At 40.8% G+C, this 23307-nt stretch overlaps 1 long non-coding RNA gene across 2 annotated transcripts in view, besides 1 other annotated feature; it reads left to right on the plus strand.

Annotated features, from left to right (window-relative positions):
* The window catches only part of LOC107986667 (uncharacterized), a 90129-nt gene extending 68611 nt beyond the window's left edge, over positions 1–21518 (plus strand). For both annotated transcript variants that reach the window (XR_001744460.3, XR_001744458.2), the window contains exons 2-3: positions 1516–1585; positions 18809–21518. This is a non-coding gene — a long non-coding RNA (uncharacterized LOC107986667). The remainder of the gene's footprint in view (positions 1–1515; positions 1586–18808) is intronic.
* Positions 1799–1978: an enhancer, noted in NCBI's record as "active region_25426". NCBI's record gives its function as "activates an Ori minimal core promoter by ATAC-STARR-seq in GM12878 lymphoblastoid cells {active_cell/tissue: GM12878}" and the evidence as "EXISTENCE:reporter gene assay evidence [ECO:0000049][PMID:35858748]".
* Positions 21519–23307: the final 1789 nt, after the last annotated feature.

A 23307-nucleotide genomic window follows, 5' to 3' on the forward strand; every position in this document is an offset into this window, starting at 1 on the left:
TCCCCAGACTTGTGCTTCCTTTTGTTTTCTTTCCATTTGTTAGTCTCGTGAGGTGGTGATCACTCCTTCCCTTCCCTTCCTTTCCCTTCCCTGCCCTGCCTTGCCCTGCCCTGCCCTGCCCTCCCCTCCCCTCCACTCCCCTCCCTTTCCCCTCCCCTCTCCTTCCCTTCCCCTCCCTTCTTACATATCTTATCCAATGGTCCAATAACCTGTAGTCCCTAGCCATCCCAGCTCACTCTACCATGTAGCAACCCACATCCTTGTGGGTGTGGGTATGGGTGTGGGTGTGTGTGGAGAGTGTATATGTTTATATATATATTTTTTTCAGACGCATTGTTATTTAAGTAAGTGAAGAAAATCTGTGACATCTTTTCTACCTAAGCAAATTATAATACTTTATCAATATCTTCTTTTTACTAAAACAAACCCATATCATTTTCATAATATTAGATTGGCGCAAAAGCAATCGTGGTTTGACAAAAACCACGATTGCATTTGCACCAACCTATAATTCTATTTCAGATAAGAAAAAAGTTATTAAACTTGCTAATCTTCATCAGGATCATGTTATCTATCAGTTCATCTTTGATTGTTCAGCCAATTTCCAGGTGGAGTGTAAGGAAAACAGAAATTGATTTGGTAGAAATTTTCCTTAAACTTCTAGAAATACTTGTGGATTTCTAATTGCTCACATGTGTGGTGAGTCTGGCTACAGATTGATAAGACACTTTTGCCAATTTCACCTGTGAAAAAATATCTCATTTTTTTATAGTCAGCCTTTCTAAAGTGTCTCCAGTGTGCCACTTTTATCTGCCATTCTGGAACAGAGAATGCTCTGATTCCTCTCTCTGGTAAAACAGAAGTCCTCCTTCTTGGAGACTGAATGAATTTTAGGTGGAAGCATTTCTTTCCTCACTTGTCCCGTTTGTTCTGATGACGTGCTTCTCCATCCAGGTAACAGCCTGCCCGACGCGGATCCGGGAATACAAACAGGCTGTGCATATAGTTGGAGCCTCTCTTCACACAGCATTTCATCCTTAGGCTCAACATGTCATCAACAAGGCTTTTTAAGACCACTAATAATCACCCTTTGGGTTTTGGAAAAACCAGTACTCAGATTTTGGCTAATATGATTGTCATACATTTGCTTAATAAAGTTTCCGCCTCAGCATCTATTTTTAAGCCTGACGTAAGTTGCTGGAAGCCCAGCTGCACCCTGTCCCCTTCAGTCTAGTTAAGTTTCCTGGCCCTTACGGTGCTTTGAGATATTGTCTGCTCGTTTTTCATCCTGCTGACCCCAAACCCAACACACCCCACAGCTGCTGGCCATGGTGAAACCTAATGGTTAACATCAGAGTCCTGTGATCAAGTTCCCCACTTTGAGCGTGTTGTCTTAAAAGGACTCAAGCCACAACTCCTTTGAGAAAGCTTAAGTGATAACACCTATGGGTTTTAGTATAGCTGCAGTCTCACAGGTTCTCTCTCTCTGACTCTCTCTCTCTCCTCCCCCACCAGCTAGTTAAGCACTCTATTGCCTCTGGACTTCCTGTTGGCTGCCCATCAGCACCCCGACCTCTCCAGACCTGTAAGTAATAAATTTCTTCTGTTTCGTGCATTTTGGTTTCACTTCCTCATTGTCTCACCAGATACACACACCAGAATAAACTCCCCTGTCAGGACTCTCCTAGAAAGTGGTATCACGGCTCATGGCCATTCTCAAGAGAAAGATCTCAAGACTAAATTAGAAACCATTACAATGAAAATCACAACGATAACGAAAAGGGACTGCTTGTTTGTTACTATGAGCCAAAGAACTTCAGAGCCTCAGATTTTTCCACGTAAAAGTAACTTGAGGATCTTTTCTCATGGCTAGAGTTTGAATTTTCTCAAGTCTGCCTTTAAAACAACTGCAGTATGAGCTGCATCTCTGTTATTCTTACTGAAGTGAAATATTCACACTGCACTGGCTGGTAAGTGTTCTAGGAGCATGATGTAAATGTTCTTCCTGGAAACTACCAATCCATTTTGGCAAGACTTTAAATTATACTTGCAATCCTTTCTTCTCGCTTATTTGATAATGTATCTTTTCTCACTTTCTTCTATTCATTAATTTTTTTCTCTTCCATTATTTATCATTATGGTCTATGGCTGTTGTTTAACTCTCTAAGGCTATTTATACCACTTGCATGAATCATGCTACATAAAGTAAAATAGTACCACACCATAGATTAAGGAAACTCGCTTTCTAATATATGATTAATTGTAAGTGGCTACACTTCCCATAATAAATTAATATAAAATGTGCTCAGTCATATGTTATGGAGATATGTGATGCATAAATAATTTTTTATGCTTCACTTTAATCAGCATTTTGTACCAAGTCATATTATCATCTATAAAATGCTTTTCAATTGGTCCTAGGCAATCCAGACCACATAATACTTACTTCAAGGAAAAATAATGAATATTTTAATCTTAAATATTACATACAAATGGCAGTAAATAAAAGTTAATAGGATTTAGTTTCTTTCAAATTATTTTGATCATTTCTAGGCAAGTAATTTCTTTCATAAATCAGATCATATCTTTAATTAGGAAAAGTTGGTGTGCAATATTAAAACAAAGAGTTGGACTTAGAAATTGTAAAATATAAGCTTACGTTCCAGCTCAGCATGTCACTGTCAAAAGTCACTTCATATCTTAGAGTCTCAATGACTTGGTAAAAGGGGAATAGCACTAATGTCCACCCTGCCTCCATTGTGGGACTACTGTAAGCATCTAATACTATAGTGACCTTATGAGTGTTTTGTGCATTTTTAAAGCACCAACTACCTGCAAGGTGCAACTGTGATTTATTCCAGTATTTCAAAAAATGCATGTTCATTAATGTTTTCCTACACATACTTTCAGCACATCCATAGGAAACTCATAGTGCACTCCTCTGCATAACAGATGAACAATTAAATGCCTTTAAAATATAATTGGTAAAGGTACAAGTCTGCAGAGATTCTTTTCGGTCTACATTCCTCCCTTTCCAAGATCCCCTGTTCTCTTTCAGCAGCCAGCAAGAAGCTCTGAACACAGTATATCTTTGCCAGTTTGGTTTGATTTTTGGTGGTTTTTATAGCTTTTTGCCATCCTGCTTTTCCAAGCTACCCACGGTGCATCTGAGCAGATCCTTGAAACTGTCATGCATTGAAACCCCCTCTCTGCCTGTCAGTCTCATCTGCTTTAATCCCAGGCTACCAGCAGCTCAGTAATAAAACTGAGAAAACAAACTCACCATCTATTATTAAAAGTTTAACTCAATGATTGTTACTGCATCTATAGAAATATGTAGGCAACACTCAACCTTTCTATAGCCATATTTTTACCCTTTAAAAACTATTACAATATTCTCTCATGAAATAATGTAATTCTTTCACATTAATTAACTAAAGATGATTTCAAATAACCAGTGCATGAAGGGAAATAGCTGAGGCTCCCCAGAGTTTAGGCATCTTTGTCTGTGGATGATCCTAACCCTGAATCCTGATCTGAGTACCAGGAGAACTTCCTTCTTACCTCTTATGTTTATGCAACAGTAAGAAAAAAAAAACAGCTCAAATCTCATCTCAGGGTCTTCTACCATAACATTTTATTTTTCACTCCCACAGTCCAGATTGTGGTGGGGGAAGGAAGGTGGGAGGCAGTCAGCAAGAGTTTGGTTCTGCATGGTCATTCAGGCTCAGTGTGGTAGAGACAACCTCATCAGAGCCTCAACATTCACAAGGGCAGAGGAAAGCGAGGCCAGGAAACTATGCAGGGCCTGTCCTTGCCTTGGCCAAAAGTGACAACCATCACTTCTACTTATAATTCTTAGCAAGAATTGGTAACATGCCCCAATCCAACTGCAAGGGAACTGGTCATCTCTGTGCCCAGTAAGCAAGGGAGAACTGGGTGTGGTGGACATTGGTGAGGTTGACACCTTCCCCTCTTGCCAACTCCCACCCATGCAGAGAGGCTACCATGAGACCCCAACATGCTGGGATGCACTTGCTGAGTACCACCTCTCTGTGTAGCTGTTCACAGTTCATTTCCACATTCTCTCTGGCTTCACCACTGACCTTACTTACATTCAGGCTCTCCATGGAGTAGTTGGGGTAGGGGACGGCAGAGTAGCCAGCAGTGCCATAGGCCTTTGTATGTGGTCTTTGCCCATATCAGGGGCTGACCCCAGGAGATCAAGAGACACTCATGGGTTGTCACTGAGTGACAACCTATTTACTTGAATTTGTGAAGGAAACACAGACCCATTTCTTCCACTTGTTTCCAGTAACAACTAATTTTTTTTGCATGAGGGTTGAAAAATTTAATTTGCCTGGCTTTCCGCTGGAAACTCTGAAAGAGTTTTGAGCAGGCAGAACAATGGAAAAGGGAATTGCCTACTTGGACTTCCCCAATTTTCAGGGACACAGGGAATTCGGATGGCGAGCCCACCAGTCTGGGGTCCCCAGTGGCCACAAAGTCTTTTTCCTGCCCATCTTGATGCCTCAGTTTGAGGAGGTGGTGGTAATCCCAGTAGTAGCTTGTTTTTCCGTCTGAGAGTGACATCCTCTGATGCTGACTTGTGAACTCATGCCTCTCACGCATCATTTCAGAAAGACATTTTTACAAAATAGAGATGAGGCCTACATATTGCCATTTTAACCTGGAACTGTGTTTTAACCTAAATGATTCAAAATAAGTAGGAATTTGGGGCATGACGGTTTATATCTTAGGCGGCGAATCTAAAGCAATCTGAATACATAATATTTATGGCATTATGTAGAGTATCCCCTTTGAATAATCCAAAAGTAAAAAGGCTCTAGATGGCTTGGATATATAGAAAGACCTTAAGCCCACAGACAAACAGAATAAGGGCTGATTTATTTGCAGGTGTAAGCCTAGCTACTATTTTCCCCCAGGCCCACAGTCAGTGCTCATAGACACGAACAACTTATTTTTTTGTCCCCCAAGAGAAGATGTTTTCGATTTTAAAACATCATAAGGTTCTGACTCTTGAACTAAAAAAACAATTTTTCCTTTAGCGTTTACAAGTTAGATGGTTTAAAAGGGAACAGAAAAATATAGAGAAAATTCACAGTAATAGGTATTAATATGACACTGCCCCAATAAGGTACTTTCAGAACATGTTCTCTCATTAACCATTTCTAAGTGTGCTGAAAATATATTTAACTGTCCTGCCCTCTCCTGCATTTCATGTATAAATGCCAAAACCTAGAACTATCCTGATTCTTTACATAGGTAAAACATAAGTTCTCTTACAATTCTAAATATTATTCACTTCTATACTTATCAGGAATCAGTAAGCAGGTCCTAAATTCTGCATAGGAATTATGCCTCCAGAAAAGCAGAGAGCCACAGGCCAGGGCAGGAGGGACCCTACATAAACAAAGAGTGGAGGAGGCAGATGGCAGAGCAACTGCGGGAATGTGTGACTTGAACAGTATTGACTTTTTTTCCTTCTTACACGATTTCAAGTTTTAAAAATTAATGCCTTTAATTTTCTTTTCAAATTTAAAGTTTTAATGGTTCTATAAAATAGTGAATATTGCAAATACAATACAAAGACACTTTAACAGGAACATCTTAAAGCATATTCATTATTCCAAAGAAAATGCTGTGAAACTGGAATCTGAGGGAACTAAAATGTTGGTGTTCACAGCAAGTCAAGCTTGGGTGGTTCCTATTCACACACTAATGCAAGATCACTGTAATGAGGTGGGAACAGACTTCCTGCGAGCCACAGGCCGATCTATTAGAAGATGATCTTCCAGGCTACTTCAACTATCTATTTTAACTCAATATTAATGTTCAAAAATAATGTTACAAATAGCCATAGGATTATCTGTAGAAATACTTTTAGTGAGAATTTGTTTTACATTTCAAGATTCCAGAATAATTTCTACAATTTCTTGAAAGGAATTTAAACTTTTTATAGTCAAGCATACTCTATGTGTGGTCCCATATTCCAGCACTTGTTTCTGTGGAAATTGGCTGTTATGGTTTCACTGTGTCCCCATCCAAATCTCAACTTGAATTGTAGCTCCCAGAATTCCCAAGTGTTGTGGGAGGGACCCAGGGGGAGGTAATTGAATCATGGGGGCCAGTCTTTCCCGTGCTATTCTCATGATAGTGAATAAGTCTCACAAGATCTGATGGCTATATCAGGGATTTCCCCTTTTGCTTATTTCTCATTTTTCTCTTGCTGCCACCATGTAAGAAGTACCTTTTGCCTCCTGCTATGATTCTGAGGCCTCCCCAGCCATGTGGAACTATAAGTCCAATTAAACCTCTTTTTCTTCCCAGTCTTGGGTATGTCTTTATCAGCATCATGAAAAGGAACTAATACATTGACACAGCATCTGTGCCAAGCAGAGTCCATGCTAAAGGCTGAATAAATGGCACCTGGGTTGTGTCCATCTGATGGGTTAAGGCCAGGCTGCTAAGCCTTGACTCTTACCACAGGGCACAACTGCAGTGTTGGTAAGTGTGGATGTTAAACGCCCAAGAAGATATCTTAAGGTGGTCTATGTGCTTTCAGTATAAAAAATTGTCTTTTATTTTTCTGAAAAAGCTTGCTTTTGATGAAGGCTTAACCATCTGTGCTTTAATGAAATGGGTGAAAAATGAACTGTGATTAACAGATTTTATAATTTCTTTGTGTTGCTTCAGTTACTCCCTAAATTAACTAAATTTCTTTAAAAAAATTTTTTTAATTATTATTACACTTTAAGTTTTAGGGTACATGTGCACAATGTGCAGGTTTGTTACATATGTATACATGTGCCATGCTGGTGTGCTGTACCCATTAACTCGTCATTTAACATTAGGTATATCTCCTAATGCTATCCCTCCCCTCTCCCCCCACCCCACAACAGGCCCCGGTGTGTGATGTTCCCCTTCCTGTGTCCATGTGTTCTCATTGTTCAATTCCCACCGATGAGTGAGAACATGCGGTGTTTGGTTTTTTGTCCTTGCCATAGTTTGCTGAGAATGATGGTTTCCAGTTTCATCCATGTCCCTACAAAGGACATGAACTCATCATTTTTTATGGCTGCATAGTATTCCATGGTGTATATGTGCCACGTTTTCTTAATCCAGTCTATCGTTGTTGGACATTTGGGTTGGTTCCAAGTCTTTGCTATTGTGAATAGTGCCACAATAAACATACGTGTGCATGTGTCTTTATAGCAGCATGATTTATAATCCTTTGGGTATATACCCAGTAATGGGATGGCTGGGTCAAATGGTATTTCTAGTTCTAGATCCCTGAGGAATCGCCACACTGACTTCCACAATGGTTGAACTAGTTTACAGTCCCACCAACAGTGTAAAAGTGTTCCTATTTCTCCACATCCTCTCCAGCACGTTGTATCCTGACTTTTTAATGATCGCCATTCTAACTGGTGTGAGATGATCTCATTGTGATTTTGATTTGCATTTCTCTGATGGCCAGTGATGATGAGCATTTTTTCATGTGTTTTTTGGCTGCATAAATGTCTTCTTTTGAGAAGTGTCTGTTCATTTCCTTTGCCCACTTTTTGAAGGGGTTGTTTGTTTTTTTCTTGTAAATTTGTTTGAGTTCATTGGAGATTCTGGATATTAGCCCTTTGTCAGATGAGTAGGTTGCAAAATTTTCTCCACCTGTTCACCCTGATGGTAGTTTCTTTTGCTGTGCAGAAGCTCTTTAGTTTAATTAGATCCCATTTGTCAATTTTGGCTTTTGTTGCCATTGCTTTTGGTGTTTTAGACATGAAGTCCTTGCCGGTGCCTATGTCCTGAATGGTATTGCCTAGGTTTTCTTCTAGGGTTTTTATGGTTTTAGGTCTAACATGTAAGTCTTTAATCCATCTTGAATTAATTTTTGTATAAGGTGTAAGGAAGGGATCCAGTTTCAGCTTTCTCCATATGGCTAGCCAGTTTTCCCAGCACCATTTATTAAATAGGGAATCCTTTCCCCATTGCTTGTTTTTGTCAGGTTTGTCAAAGATCAGATGGTTGTAGATATGTGGCATCTCCTTAAGCTGATAAGCAACTTCAGCAAAGTTGCAAGATACAAAATCATTGTACAAAAATCACAAGCATTCTTATACACCAATAACAGACAAACAGAGAGCCAAATCATGAGTGAAATCCCATTCACAATTGTTTCAAAGAGAATAAAATACCTGGGAATCCAACTTACAAGGGATGTGAAGGACCTCTTCAAGGAGAACTACAAACTACTGCTCAATGAAATAAAAGAGGATACAAACAAATGGAAGAACATTCCATGCTCATGGGTAGGAAGACTCAATATCGTGAAAATGGCCATACTGCCCAAGGTAATTTATAGATTCAATGCCATCCCCATCAAGCTACCAATGACTTTCTTCACAGAATTGGAAAAAACTACTTTAAAGTTCATATGGAACCAAAAAAGAGCCCGCATCGCCAAGTCAATCCTAAGCCAAAAGAACAAAGCTGGAGGCATCACGCTACCTGACTTCCAACTATACAACAAGGCTACAGCAACCAAAACAGCATGGTACTGGTACCAAAACAGAGATATAGATCAATGGAACAGAACAGAGCCCTAAATTAACTAAATTTCTAAATTAAAGTTCTTTTAAAATATTTACTATCACTTCTAAAGTTTTTACTGTGTATGCTGGGCACTGTTCTAAGTGCTTTGCATGTATTAGTTTATCTATTCCTTACGACAATTAAAAGGTCAATTGTGACATTGGTATTAGGAGGTTGGGCCTTAGGGAAGTGATGAGATCATGAGGGTAGAAACTCATAAATGAAATTAGTGCTTTTATAGAAGAGGCCTCAGAGAGTTCTCTTGCCTCTTCTACCATGTGAGGACACAGGGAGAAGGTGCCATTTATGAACCAGGAAGCCATCCCTCAACAGATACCAAATCTATTGATGTCTTGATATTGGACTTCCCGGACTCCAGGACTGTGAGTTTGTTTGTTGTTTAAGCCACTTAGTCAATGATATTTTTGTTACAGCAGCCTGACCTGGCTGCAACCTTTCCCTAGCACAAAACTCCCTGCCCGAAGTTTCTTCTGTCTCCTGTGTTCTCATATTCTGCTTTCATTTGGGAATCAACACACCAGGACCTGCAGCAGTACAAAGTTTCATTCTATTCCAAGTACTGTAATTATTCCTAAAGGAAGTAGCGTCAGGTCACAGCAGAAGATGGTCTTTGGAAAAGGGGAATGGGTCAGTCTATGTGGCCTTAACTGATGGTCTACTCTTAGCAACAGGATCAGGTGAAGACCTGCAGGACAGACTCATAGGAGTAGATGTTGGAGAAGGTAAGGGATGGAATTGAGATTTACAGTGAGTCTTACAGGTCATAACAATAGCTAAATACCATAAAGAGAATATTAATCAGGCTATGTTGAAGTCCTAAACTTAGGTTTAAACATCACATTATATGATTATAGAAATAGACATCTATAATTCAAGGGAATGAGATATAACTTAGTAATCTGTGAATGATACTTTTCACTGAATGTGAGAATTACATATAGCTTGTATTATCCTGTTATCATGCTGTTAAAAGGACATACCCACAACTGGGTAATTTATAAAGGAAAGAGGTTTAATTGACTCACAGTTCTGCGGGCTGGGGAGGCCTCAGGAAATTTACAATCATGGCAGAATGGGAAGCAAATCTGTCCTTCACATGGCAACAGGAGAGAGAATCACCAAGCAAAGGGGGTAAAGCCCCTTACAAAACCATCAAATCTCATGAGAACTCACTCGCTATCATGAGAACGGCATAGAGGTAACTGCCCCCATGATTAAATTACCTCCTACTTGATCCCTCCCACAACACATGGGGATTATGGGAACTACAATTCAAGATGAGATTTGGTTGGGGACACAAAGCCAAATAATATCATTCCACCTCTGACCCCTGCCAAATGTCATGTCCCCACATTTGAAAACACAATCATGCCTTTGCAATAGTCCCCAAAGTTTTAACTCATTCCGGCGTTAACCCAAAAGTCCAAGTCCAAAGTCTCATCTGAGACAAGGCAAGTCACTTCCACCTATAAGCCTGTAAAATCAAAAGCAAGTTAGTTACTTCCAAGATACAATGGGGGCACAGGCACTGAATAAATATACCCATTCCAAATGGAAGAAATTGGACAAAAGAAAGGGATATAGGCCCCATGCAAGTACAAAATCCAATAGGGCGATCATTAAAGCTTAAGGTTTCAAAATAATCTCTCAGGTAGGGGCACAACGTTGCCAGTCTCTTTGCTAAAGCATAGCAAGAATCACCTTTATTCCAGTTCCCAACAAGTTCCTCATCTCCATCTGAGACCAACTCAGCCTGGACCTCATTGTTTATCCTTTATCCCAGTTCCCAACAAGTTCCTCATCTCCATCTGAGACCACCTCAGCCTGGACTTCATTGTTTATATCATTATCAACATTTTGGTTAAAGGCATTCAACAAATTTCTAGGAAGTTCCAAACTTTCCCACATCTTCTTGTCTTCTGAGCCCTCCAAGTCTCTAGGAAGTTCCAACTTTCTCCCATTTTTCTGTCTTCTTCTGAGCCCTCCAAACTGTTCCAACCTTTACCTGTTACCCAGTACCAAAGTTGATTCCACATTTTCTGCTGTCCTTATTGCCGCAGCCCACTCTCTGTGGTATCAATTTTCTGTATTAGTCCATTCTCACACTTCTATAAGGACATATCCAAGACTGCATAATTTATAAAGGAAAGAGATTTAATTGACTCAGAGTTCCATATGACTGGGGAGGCCTCAGAAAACTTAAAATCATGGCAGAAGGGAAAGCAAACACATTGTTCTTCACATGGTGGCTGGGGAGAGAAGTGGAAGCCAAGGGGGTGAAAGCCCCTTATAAAACCATCAGATCTCACGAGAACTCACTGACTATCACAAGAACACATGGCAGTAACTGCTCCCAGGATTCAATTACCTCCTTCCAGGTCCTTCCCATGACTAGTGGGGATTATCAGAACTACAATTCAACATGGGAACTGGGTGGGACACAAAGCCAAACCATATCTAGTTTTATTTTCTTTAACAGCATTCTATTTCTTTATTAATTTTGCTTTTTTTGTTAAGATTTTCTCCAGTGATAAAACATACCATTTTAATATCATTCTTCAATTAATAATGCATCTGGACTTTATATACAGTGTAAGAAATGGGTCAGTATTACTTTTTTCATATGAATAGTCAATCGATGATGCATTATTTATTGAAAATGGCATCCTTTTCCTTATGGCATTACAGTGGTACTGTTGTCATAAGTCAAGTACCTAATACATGTGGGTTTACTTCTGGACCCTTGTGTCCCATTTTCCAGTATGTCTGTCCTCAGCCTATACCACACCTTCATGATTCGTAAAACTCTATTGATTACATATATCCAGGTAATAATTGAAAATATTACAAGACCACACACAATACATTGATGTGAGGGTTTAATGAAGATAAATGGTGCAGGACAGCAAGAGAGAGAAGGCACTTGAAGAATCAGAGAGGCCCCAGTCTTCCAGGGACAGCTCTTAAGGCCCTTTCTGGGATTCATAGCATGTGCTTTATCTTAAGCGTTTGAATCCAAACTGGGCAACAGATATCTGGTCTCAAGGGAGACAAGCACAAGGCCACTGAACAGTGTCTTATATGAGTTAGCTGGATCTTCTGCTCAGGCCTCACAGGCTGACAGCAAGGTGCCCTCATCTGAGGCCCTGACTCCTCTTGAAGTATTTGAGTTGTTGGCAGATTTCATTTCCTCAGCTATAGGTACTCAGTTGTAGGACTGAGGTCCCATTTGCTTGTTAGCTATCAGCCAGAGATTGTTCTCAGCCTTGAGTTGTCCACTACATACCATCAGCAGCCCACTCTGCTCCAACAGCAGCCACAGCATAGCTGTTTGTTCTTCCTGGAAGCTGGCAAGAGTCTGTTTCTCTGAGTTCTTATCTGCCTTTTAAAAGGCTTCTGTGATCAGATCAGACCCACCTCGATAGTATTTATATTCTAAGGTGACCTGACTTGGGACTTAAATCACATCTGCAATATCCCTTCACAGAAGTAGCTAGATTACTGTTTGATTGAATAATCAGGGGACAGGAATAGTGAGGAGGGAGGGAGGAGGTGTCAACAGCATCTTTAGAAGCTTCTACTTCCATCTGGAGGTCATGCTTGAGTTGGTGCCCATGCTCTTTATCATCTTTGTCCTTGTCATATTGTCCAAATAGCTCTTGGGTATGTTTTATCTATTTTTCTGAGTCTTTTTATTCTGTCTTACTTTCCCTTTCTTCTGGAGTAATATCTCTTCTAAACAACGAATATAGGCCAATAACTCTTTTTTCTCAGCCTTTTTTTTTCATTAAAGAGAAATTCTGCCTGTCCTAGGATTCCTGCATCTATTCCAATTGTTTCTAAGATGAATTGATATAGTTTGAATATTTGTCCCTGCCTTACTTTCATATTGAATTGTAATCCCCAGTGCTGGATGTGGGGTATGGTGGGAGGTATATGGGTCATGAGGGCAGATCCCTCATGGCTTGCTGCTGTCTTTGTGATAGTGAATTTCTGCAAGATCTGATCATTTAAAAATGTGTGGCACCTCCTGCCCACTCTCTCTCTCTTGCTTGCACCTGCTTTTGCCATGTGATATGCCTGTTCCTCCTTTGCCATCCAACATAATTGTCAGCTTCCTGAGGTCTCCCTAGAATTCAAGCAGATGCTAACACCATGCTTCCTGTAAAGCCTTCAGAACTGTGAGCTAATTATACCTCTTTTCTTTATAAATTATCCAGTCTCATGTATTTCTTTATAGCAGTGCAAGAGCACCAAATACAGAAAATTGGTAGCAAGAAGTGGGGTGTTGCTATAAAGATACCTGAAAATGAGAAAGTGATTTTGGAACTGGCTAATGGGCAGAGGTTGGAAGAGTTTAGAGGACTCAGAAGAAGACCTGAATATGAGAGAAAGCTTGGGCCTTCTTAGATACTGGTTAAATGATTGTGACAAAAATGCTGATAGTGACATGGATAGTGAAGTCCAGGCTGCCAATGTCTCAGATAGAAATAAGAAACTTATTGGGAACTGGAGCAAAGGTCATGCCTGTTATGCCTTAGCAAAGAGCTTGGCTTCATTCTGTTCATGCCCCAGGGAACTGTGGAAGTTTGAGCTTGAGAGTGTGACCTAGGGTATCTGGTGGCAAAAATATCTAAACAACAAAGTATTCAAGATGTGGCCTGGCTGTTTCTAACAGCTGATGCTCAGATGCAGAACAAAGGAATTTTCTAAAGTTGGAATTTATATTTAAACCATAAACAGAGCATATAAATTTGGAAAATTTGAAGCCTGACCATGTGACAAAGAAAGAAAAAGCTTTTTTGGTGGAGTAATTCAAGCAGGCTATGGAGCAAATTGTTGCTAGAGATATTTGCATAACTAAAATGCAGCCCAGTGCTAATATCCAAGACAATGGGGAAAAGGCACTGAAGACGTTTCAGAAAACTTCGTGGAAGTCCCTGCCATCACAGACACAGAAGCCTAGGAAGAATGAATGGTTTCATGGGCCAGGGCCAGGGCTTTGTTGCCTTGTGCAGCTTCAGGACACTGCTCTCTATGTCCATGCCATTCCAGCTGTGGTCTCAGATCAAAGGGGCACTGATGCAGCTTGGACTGCCACTTTGGAGATTGCAAGCCATAAGCTTTGGAGGCTTTCACTTGGTGTTAAGCTTGTATATGCACAGAATGCAAGAATGAAGAACAGTTGGCAGCCTCTGATTAGATGTCAGAGGATGTATGGGAAAGCCTGGGTGCCCAGCCCAGGCAGAGAACCTCTACTAGGCAGTGCCAAGGGAAAATGTGGGATTGCAGTCCCCACACATATTCCCCAGTGGGGCACTTCCTAGTGGAGCTGTGGGAAGGGGGCCACTGTCTTCCAAACCCCAGAATGGTAGATCCATCAGGAACTTGCACCCTGTGCTTGGAAAAGCCACAGGCACTCAACTCAAACCACAGGAACAAGCACAGAGCTGCACCCTGCAAAGCCAAAGGGGTTTGGGAGCCTGCCCCTTGCAGCATTGTGCCCTGGATATGGGACATGGAGTCAAAGGAAATTATCCTAGAGCTTGAATATTTAATGACTCCCCTACTGGGTTTTAAACTTGCATGGGGCATGTAGTCCCTTTCTTTTGGCCAATTTCTGTCTTTTGAAATGGGAATGTTTACTCAATGCCTATAACTCCATTGTATCTTTGGAGTAAATAACTTGTTTTTTATTTTACAGGCTCATAGATGGAATGGATTTGCCCTCTCTCAGATTAGACTTTGAACATTAAGTTAATGTTAAAATGAATTAAGACCTTGGGGGACTGTTGGGAAGGCATGATCATATTTTGCAATGTGAGAAGGAAATGTGATTCCAGAGAAGCCTGGGGTAGAATGATACAGTTTAAATATTTGTCTCTGCCAAAATCTCGTGTTGAATTATAATCCCCAAGGCTAGAGGAGAAGACCAGTGGGAGATATTTGGATCATGGAGACAGAACCCTTATGACCTGGTGCTGTCTTCAGAGTAGTGAGTGAGTTCTCATGAAATCTGTTCATTTAAAAGTATGTGGCACCTCCTCCCCACTCTCTCTTGCTTACTTCTGCTTTTGCCATATGATGTGCCTGTTCCTCCTTCTCCTTCTGCCATGATTGTAAGTTTTCTGAGGCCTCCCAGAAACCAAGCAGATGCCAGCACCATGCTTCCTGTAAAGCCTGCAGAACTGTTAGCCAATTATACCAGTTTTCTTTATAAATTACCCATTGATATTTTTTGGCTGTGTCCCCAGCCAAATCTCATCTTGAATTGTAACCCCCACAATTCCCATGGGCCATGGGAGGAAACCATTGGGAGGTAATTGAATCACGGGGGCGGGTTTTTCCCATCCTGTTCTCATAACAGTGATTAAGTCTCTAGAGATCTGATGGTTCTAGAACGGGGAGTTTCCCTGCATGAACTCTCTTTTTGCCTGCTGCCGTTCATATAAGACATGACTTGCTCCTCCTTACCTTCTGCCATGTTTGTGAGGCCTCCCCAGCTACACAGAACTGTAAGTCCATGAAACCGTTTTTTCTGTATAAATTATCCAGTCTCAGTATGTCTTTATCAGCAGCATGAAAACAGACTAATAACACCCATTTGCGGGTATTTCCTTCTAGCTTTGCAAGAATGGACTAAGACGCTCATTTAGGCATTTCTGCCAATGCTGGTTTACCCAACAAGCATGTTGTGGCAATCAAGTGATTATTGTTTGAAGACAGTAGGAGTATATGTTTTGGATCCCCCCAAATTGAGTTCCTCATCATAGTGTCATCTAGGTAGTTGTCATCCACAAATAGACTTTTGTTTTAGTGCATCAAAGAGCTTTCTTTGGCACATTAAGCAAATATATGGGCTAGAAGTAGCAGATATGTGAGCCTACCAAGTCATCTAAACTAAGATTGCTTTAAGGTTCCCTTTCTTTCTAAAATTTTATTTTATTTTATTTTAAATTCCGGGATACATGTGCAGGACATGCAGTTTTGTTACATAGGTAGACGTGTGCCATGGTGGTTTGCTGCACCTATCAATCCACACCTAGGTATTAAGCCCGGCAGGCATTAGCTATTTATCCTGATGTGCTCCCTCCCCACACACCCCCCACAGGCCCCAGTGTGGTTTGTTGCCCTCCCTGTGTCCATGGGTTCTCATCATTCAGCTGCCACTCATAAGTGAGAACATGCGTTGTCTGGTTTTCTGTTCCTGTGTTAATTTGCTGAGGATAATGGCTTCCAGCTACATTCATGTCCCTGCAAGGACATGATATCATTCCTTTTTATGGCTGCATACTATATTCCATGGTAAATATATTCCATGGTATGTATTTACCACATTTTCTTTATCCAGTCTATCACTGATGGGCATTTGGGTTGATTTCATGTCTTTGCTATTGTGAATAGTTCTGCAATGAACATATGCATGCATGTATCTTTAAAATAGAATGATTTATATTCCGTTGGCTATATACCCAGTGATGGGATTGCTGGGTCAAATGATATTTCTGGTTCCAAGTATTTGAAGAAATGTTACACTATCTTCCACCATGGTTGAACTAATATACATTTCCACCAATAGTGTAAAAGCATTCCTATTTCTCCACACCCTCACTAACATCTGTTGTTTCTTGACTTTGATAATCACCATGTGACTGGTGTGAGATGTTATCTCATTGTGGTTTTGGTTTGCATTTCTCTAATGATCGGTAATGTTGAACTTTTTATTATATTTTTCTTGGCCACATAAATGTCTTCTTTTGAGAAGTGTCTGTTCATGTCCTTTGCCTACTTTTTAATGAGGTTTTTTTTTTTTTCTTGTAAATTTGTTTAAGTTCCTTGCAGATTCTGGATATTAGACCTTTGTCAGATGGATAGATTGCAAACATTTTCTCTCATTCTGTAGGTCGTTGGTTCACTTTGATGACAGTTTCTTTTGCTATGCAGAAGCTCTTAAGTTTAATTAGATCCCATTGTCAATTTTTGCTTTTGTTGCAATTATTTTTATCTTGAGCATTGCCTTACACCCCCCAAAACATTATAGACTTTAGGATATGTGGTGCTGTGAGAAGCATGCAAAGAATTCTTTACATGCATTACACTCAGGTTTGAGTTGACAAAGACAGCATAGTGTAAGTGGTGGTAGAGGAGGTGACCAGCACTCATTAAAAATCCAGCCCTAAGTACTAATGAAAAACATTAGCTATTTAATTTTAAAAATATTCCTATGTAGGTAGTCTTGTTTATTAATGAGTAAATTGAGGCACAAAGAGATTAAATAACTTGCTGAAGCCTAGATTTGAACTTAAGACTGTGGGCTACTTTGATTGTCAGTTCACTCACTGATCCAATTTTCTCATCTGAAAAAAATAATTGCTAATAATCCTACATGCACAAGAATGTCATGAGTGTGAATTAGAGGATGTCAGTGTCTGAGACACACAATAATTGCAAAATAGCACTTGTCACATCAGATCTGTCATAGCTCTTCTCCAAAATGCACTTAGCCTAGGAAAATGGCATGAGATTTCAGAAAAAGTATCCACCATGTGTGTTAATGAAGATCCAGTGGTAGCAAGAAAATCAATATATGACATACTTTTTCATTATGATGTGTTGTGATGGTTCTATTTGCAATGTTTAATGGAGAAGAGTTATTTTAGTGCTTATCAGAGTTGTTAGAAAGGCCCTTTGGGACTGTGAATGCTTAAGTTTCTTCATTAACTAGAAAGATGAAAATCTGCCACTGGGCACTAAACGTATATTAATAAATCATTCAAGAGGATAAGGTCACTTCTTCAGTTTTATTCTCCAAAACTTAGGTGTTTAAATGTGTTGATATAGAGGGAAATGTCTACTCTGCTCATCAAAACTAAGAACTTGCTAATACAAGTTAGCTCAGTAGTGCCTCAGAAAAAATTAAAAAGCCCTGTTATTTATCCACAGCCCAAACATCACTGGATTGTTCTACATGTTCCTGAGATACCTAGAGTCATTCTGCCAAAATACCTTGTCATATATTAAAGTAATAATCCTCCTCCTAAACTGATTCATTCTCTTGCATTTTCTGTCATAGTTACTATCACTAACCATCTAAAAACTCAGGCTAGATTCCTGTGAATGGTTTTTAATTCCACTTCTTGCCTCACCTATAGTACCAAACATTAAATAGATATATTTTATTTTCTCAGAGTTTCTCAAGTCCTGTTAATGCCACTAAAACCATAGTATCAATGTCCTTAGTGAGAGGGATAATATACCTTGTTTAGATTGCTCTAAGGGCAACTTAATTTATCTTCAGGCCTTGGGCTTGGTCTTTACATCTGCCCTGCACAATGCAATTGGAGTGATCCTTCAAAGTAAAAAGGACCATTACATTCTGCTGATAGAATACTTTAATGCCCACAGCAGAGTCTGTAGTACATTGGAATCACACAATAAATATATGTCCAATAGCATGTTGAACTGACAGATGTGAATGGGAAAATTTTAGCCATGCCAACTTCCACAACTCCATTCAGTGCAAGAGAATGAATCAGTTTAGGAGGCCAACTTCCACAACTCCATTTAGTGACAAATGAATGTCTATTCCCAAACCTAAGAGAAAACTCAGGGATGAAGATCTGGATTTGATCACTGTCAATTTGTAGGTGAAAATGAAGGCCGTGGTAGAAAGTGTGATTGACTAAGAAGTTATAAATGTTTCTATAAAAAGGAGATATACACCATTAGCCACCAAATTATTTCCTATTTGATTCTTGCATATTATATTATAAGCTTATAAGTTTACAGTGCTTTCTAGCTAACAGAGAAAGAGCACACATATTAATTTACCTGAAACTTACAATAACTCTGTGATAGTTTAAATTTTATAGTTAATGCAAGTTAGGCCCAGAAAGGTTTAGTGAGTTGTCTAATATATTATGGCTAGAAATTGGTAGAATGTGGACTCAATTTCCAAGGTGGGGAAATCTTAGAATGCAGTCGACTTCACTACCTTTTATGTATGTGATAAGTTTTTGTTGTGTCCCCACCCAAATCTCATCTTGAAATGTAGTTTCCACAATCCCCACATGTTGTGGGAGGGACCTGGTAGCAGGTAATTGAATCATGGGGGTGGTTACCTCTATGCTGCTGTTCTTGTGATAGTGAGTTCTCATGAGATTTCATGGTTTTATAGGAGGCTTTTCTCTGTTGGCTCGGCACTTCTTCCTGCCGCCATGTGAAGAAAGATGTGTTTGCTTCCCATTCTGCCATGATGGTAAGTTTCCTGAGGCCTCTCCAGGCATGTGGAACTGTGAGTCAATTAAACATGTTTCCTTTATAAATTACACAGTCTTGGGCATGTGTTTATTAGCAGTATGAGAATGGACTAATACAGTTAAATTGGTACTGGGTAGTGGGGTGCTGCTCTAAATATACTCAAAAATGTGTAAGGTGTAAGCAACTTTGGAACTGGGTGACAGGCAGAGGTTGGAACACTTTGGAGAGCTCAGAAGAAGATAGGAAAATGTGGCAAAGTTGGGAACTTCCTAGAGACTTGGAGGGCTCAGAAGACACGAAGGTGTGGGAAAGTTTGCAACTTCCTAGAGACTTGTTGAATGGCTTTGACCAAAATGCTGATAGTGATATGGAAAATGAAGTCCGGGCTGAGATGGTCTCAGATGGAGGTGAGGAATTTGTTGGGAACTGTAATAAAGGTGACACTTGCTATGTTCTAGCAAAGAGACTGATGGCATTTTGCCTCTGCCCTAGAGATCTGTGGAACTTTGAAATTGAGAGACATGATTTAGGGTATCTGGCAGAAGAAATTTCTAAGCAGCAAAGCATTCAAGAGATGACTTGGGTCTTGTTAAAAGCATGCAGTTTTACGTATTCACAAAGAGATGGTTTGGAATTGGAACTTATGTTTGAAAGAGAAGCAGAGCATAAAAGTTCAGAACATTTGCAGCCTGATGCAATAGAAAAAAAATTTTCTGAGGAGAAATTCAACTCAACAGCATAAACTTGTCTAAGTAATGGGGAGCCAAATGTTAATCACCAAGACAATGGGGAAAATGTATCCAGGGCCTGTCAGTGGTTTTCATAGAAGCCCCTCCCATCACAAGCCTAGAGGCCTGAGAAGCAAAATATGGTTTTGTTGAGTGGGCCCAGGGCCTTGCTGCTTTGTGCAGTCTCAGGACTTGGTCCCCTGCATTCCAGCCATGGCTAAAAAGGGCCAAGGTACAGCTCGGGCCATGTCTTCAGAGAGTGCAAGCCTTGAGCCTTCACAGCTTCCATGTAGTGTTGAGCCTGTGGGTGCAAAGAAGTCTAGAATTTAGGTTAAGGAACCTCCACCTAGATTTCAGAGGATGTATGGAAATGCCTGGATGTCCAGGCAGAAGTTTGCTACAGGGCTGGAGCCCTCATGGAAAACCTTTGCTAGGGCAGTGTGGAAGGGAAATGTGGGTTGGAGCCCCCACACAGAGTCCCCACTGGTGCACAGCCTAGTGGAGCTGTGAGAAGAGGGCCACCTTCCTCCAGGCTCCAGAATGGTAGATCCACTGACAGTTTACACCATGCACCTGGCAAAACCTCAGGGACTCAATGCCAGCCCATGAAGACACCCAGGAGTGGGGTTGTACCCTGCAAAGCCACAGAGATGGAGCTGCCCAAGGCCATGGGAGCCCACATCTTGCATCAGCATGACTTGGATGTGAGACATGGTGTCAAAGGAGATCATTTTGGAGCTTCAATATTTGACTGCCCCACTGGATTTTGGACTTCCATGGTGCCTGTAACCCCTTTACTTTGGCCACTGTCTCCCATTTGGAGTGGGAGTATTTACCCAATGCCTGTACTTCCATTGTATCTAGGAGGTAAGTAACTTGCTTTTGATTTTACAGGCTGACAGTCAAAAGGGATTTGCCTTGTCTCTGATTGGACTTTGGACTTGTACTTTTGGTTTAATGCTAGAATCAGTTAAGACTTTGGGAGACTGTTGGGAAGGCATGATTATGTTTAGCAATATGAAGGCATGAGATTTGGGAAAGGTCAGGGATGAAATTATATGATTAGGCTTTGTGTCCCCACCCAAATCACATCTTAAATTGTAGCGCCCATAATCCCCACATGTCATGGGAGGGACCTGGTCAGAGGTAATTGAAATCATGGGGACACATACACCCATGCTGCTGTTCTTGTGATAGTGAGTGAGTTCTCACAAAATATGATGGTTTTATAAGGGGCTTCTCCCTCTTTGCTTGGCACTTCTTTTTCCTGCTCCCGCGTGAAGAAGGACGTGTTTGCTTCCCTTTCCTCCATAATTATGTTTGCTGAGGCCTCCCCAGCCATGCAGAACTGTGAGTGAATTAAACTTCCTTCCTTTATAAATTACCCAGGGTCAGGTATGTTTTTACTAGCAGCATGAAAGCAGACTAATACAGTACATATGCTACAGGTGTTGATTTTGCACCAGTTGGTCAGATTTGGAGACACTACTGCATGTCTGGCATTGTGCTTGGAGGTGTAATACAAAGATAAGGATGGCCCTGCTCCTCTGGCTCAATGTGAACATAAATAACTAAATATAAAACAATGTGCAGCCGGGCGCGGTGGCTCACGCCTGTAATCCCAGCACTTTGGGAGGCCGAGGCGGGCGGATCACGAGGTCAGGAGATCGAGACCATCCTGGCTAACACGGTGAAACCCCGTCTCTACTAAAAATACAAAAAATTAGCCGGGCGTGGTAGCGGGCGCCTGTAGTCCCAGCTACTCGGGAGGCTGAGGCAGGAGAATGGCGTGAACCCGGGAGGCGGAGCTTGCAGTGAGCCGAGATCACGCCACTGCACTCCAGCCTGGGCGACAGAGCGAGACTCCGTCTCAAAAAAAAAAACAAAAAAAAAAAAAAACAATGTGCAATTGTCATAGTAAAGATATGGACAGGAGATTTCAGAGCCACAAAGGAACCAGTGGTGACAAATAGAGGAGTGGCACAGATGAAGGTTATGAAATGCTTCTTCACCTGATGGGCTAGCCATCCACAGTGTCCATTGCCATCCATGTTCACCATTGATAGAACCATGTCCTGAGCATGGACATCAGGGTGGTGCTATTCTAGGTGTTGGCAAAATGGCAGTGAACCAAAAAGTCAGCATTTCTTCTCTCATGGAGTTTAGACTCTACTTGGAAGGGAGAGAAAGAAAATAAACAAAATATCAATGTTAATACTTATTATAGAACAAAATTAACACATGGAAGTAAGTGAATAAAGTTAAGAAGGATCACTTATAATTTTAACAGAATTGGTCACAAAAGGTCTCACGGAAAATATGACTTTCATCAAATATGTTGTATCAGTTTGTTATTGTTGCTTTAACAAATTATCACAAATGTTTTGGCCTAAAACACAAATTAATTACCTTGCAGTTCTAGAAATCAGAAGCCCCAAATCAGTTTCACTAAAAAACTCAAGGTCTCAGCAGGGCTGTGTTCTTCCATTTCCTTACCTGTCAGCTTCTGGAGTTTCTGTCTGCATTCCTTGCCTTGTGGCACCCTCTTACATCTTCAAGACTGACAACCCCAAATCTTTGAATGTTTCTCTGACCTCTGTTTTAATTGTCACAGATCCTTCTCTGACTCTTAACAGCTTCATCCTTTTCTTTATGACTACCCTTGTGCTTAGATTAGGGCTATTTGAATAATCCAAGATAACCTCCCATTTCACGACTCACATCTGCAAAGTCCCTTTTGCCAGGAGAAAACATATTCACAAGTCCCAAGGATTAGGACATAGACATCTTTGGTGCAGGGGTGGCATTATTCTACCCGCCACATACATGAAGGAGTGTAAGGGAGATACATACAGCTCATCCAGGGTGCACATTCCAGGCAGATTGAATCAAAAGTACAAGGATTCTGAGTCAGGGCTGTGTCTAACTTCTAAGGCATGGTAAGGAATCCACTGTGGCTTGTACGGCGGGACAACAGGGGAGAGGCATGTGAGACAAGGCCAGACAGGTAATGTGGGGCACCAGATGATGTAGGATAGTTTAGGTCATTGCAAAGATTTGGGCTTAAATTCAAATGAAGTAAAATAAGGGATAACTATGAAAGGTTTTGCACAATTGATTGGCATGTTCAAATTTATGCTTTAAAATAATAATCTGGATGACATCCTGAGAATGAACTGTGGAGGGGCACATGTGGAAGTCAGGCAACCAGAGAGGAGATGACTCCCCCAATGCAGCTGAGAAATGATATGGCCACTGAGGCCAGTGTGCTAACACTGGTGATGGGAAGGAAAAGAGATCAGTCACAATTACAAAGGTTTTTAGCCTGACAAACTAGCAGGATGTGGAGAAGCTTGCAAGAGGAATGTGTTTCTTAATGCAGCGTGGGCCAAGGGTGCAGTTCTTAGTCTGGTGAATTGGGAAAGCCTATTCAGATTTCAAATGAAAATGCTAAAAAGATGGGTGGATCTTCAAGCCTGTAGTTCAGCAGCAAGATCCAGATTGGAAACAGAAAGTTGGGTGGTCTTTAGAGCCCTGAGGTTAAATAAAATTACCAAGCTTTGGTAAGGAAGAGATTATTGCACCAACCAAGCTCTGGGGCCCTCCAATTAAGTAGTTAGGGGAGGGATAGGAGGAAAAATCTGGCAAGGTAACTGTAAAGGAATGGCAGAGTGGTAAGAACAAAGAA

This window comes from Homo sapiens, chromosome 6, assembly GCF_000001405.40.
Source record: "Homo sapiens chromosome 6, GRCh38.p14 Primary Assembly".
Taxonomy (NCBI): Eukaryota; Metazoa; Chordata; class Mammalia; order Primates; family Hominidae; genus Homo; species Homo sapiens.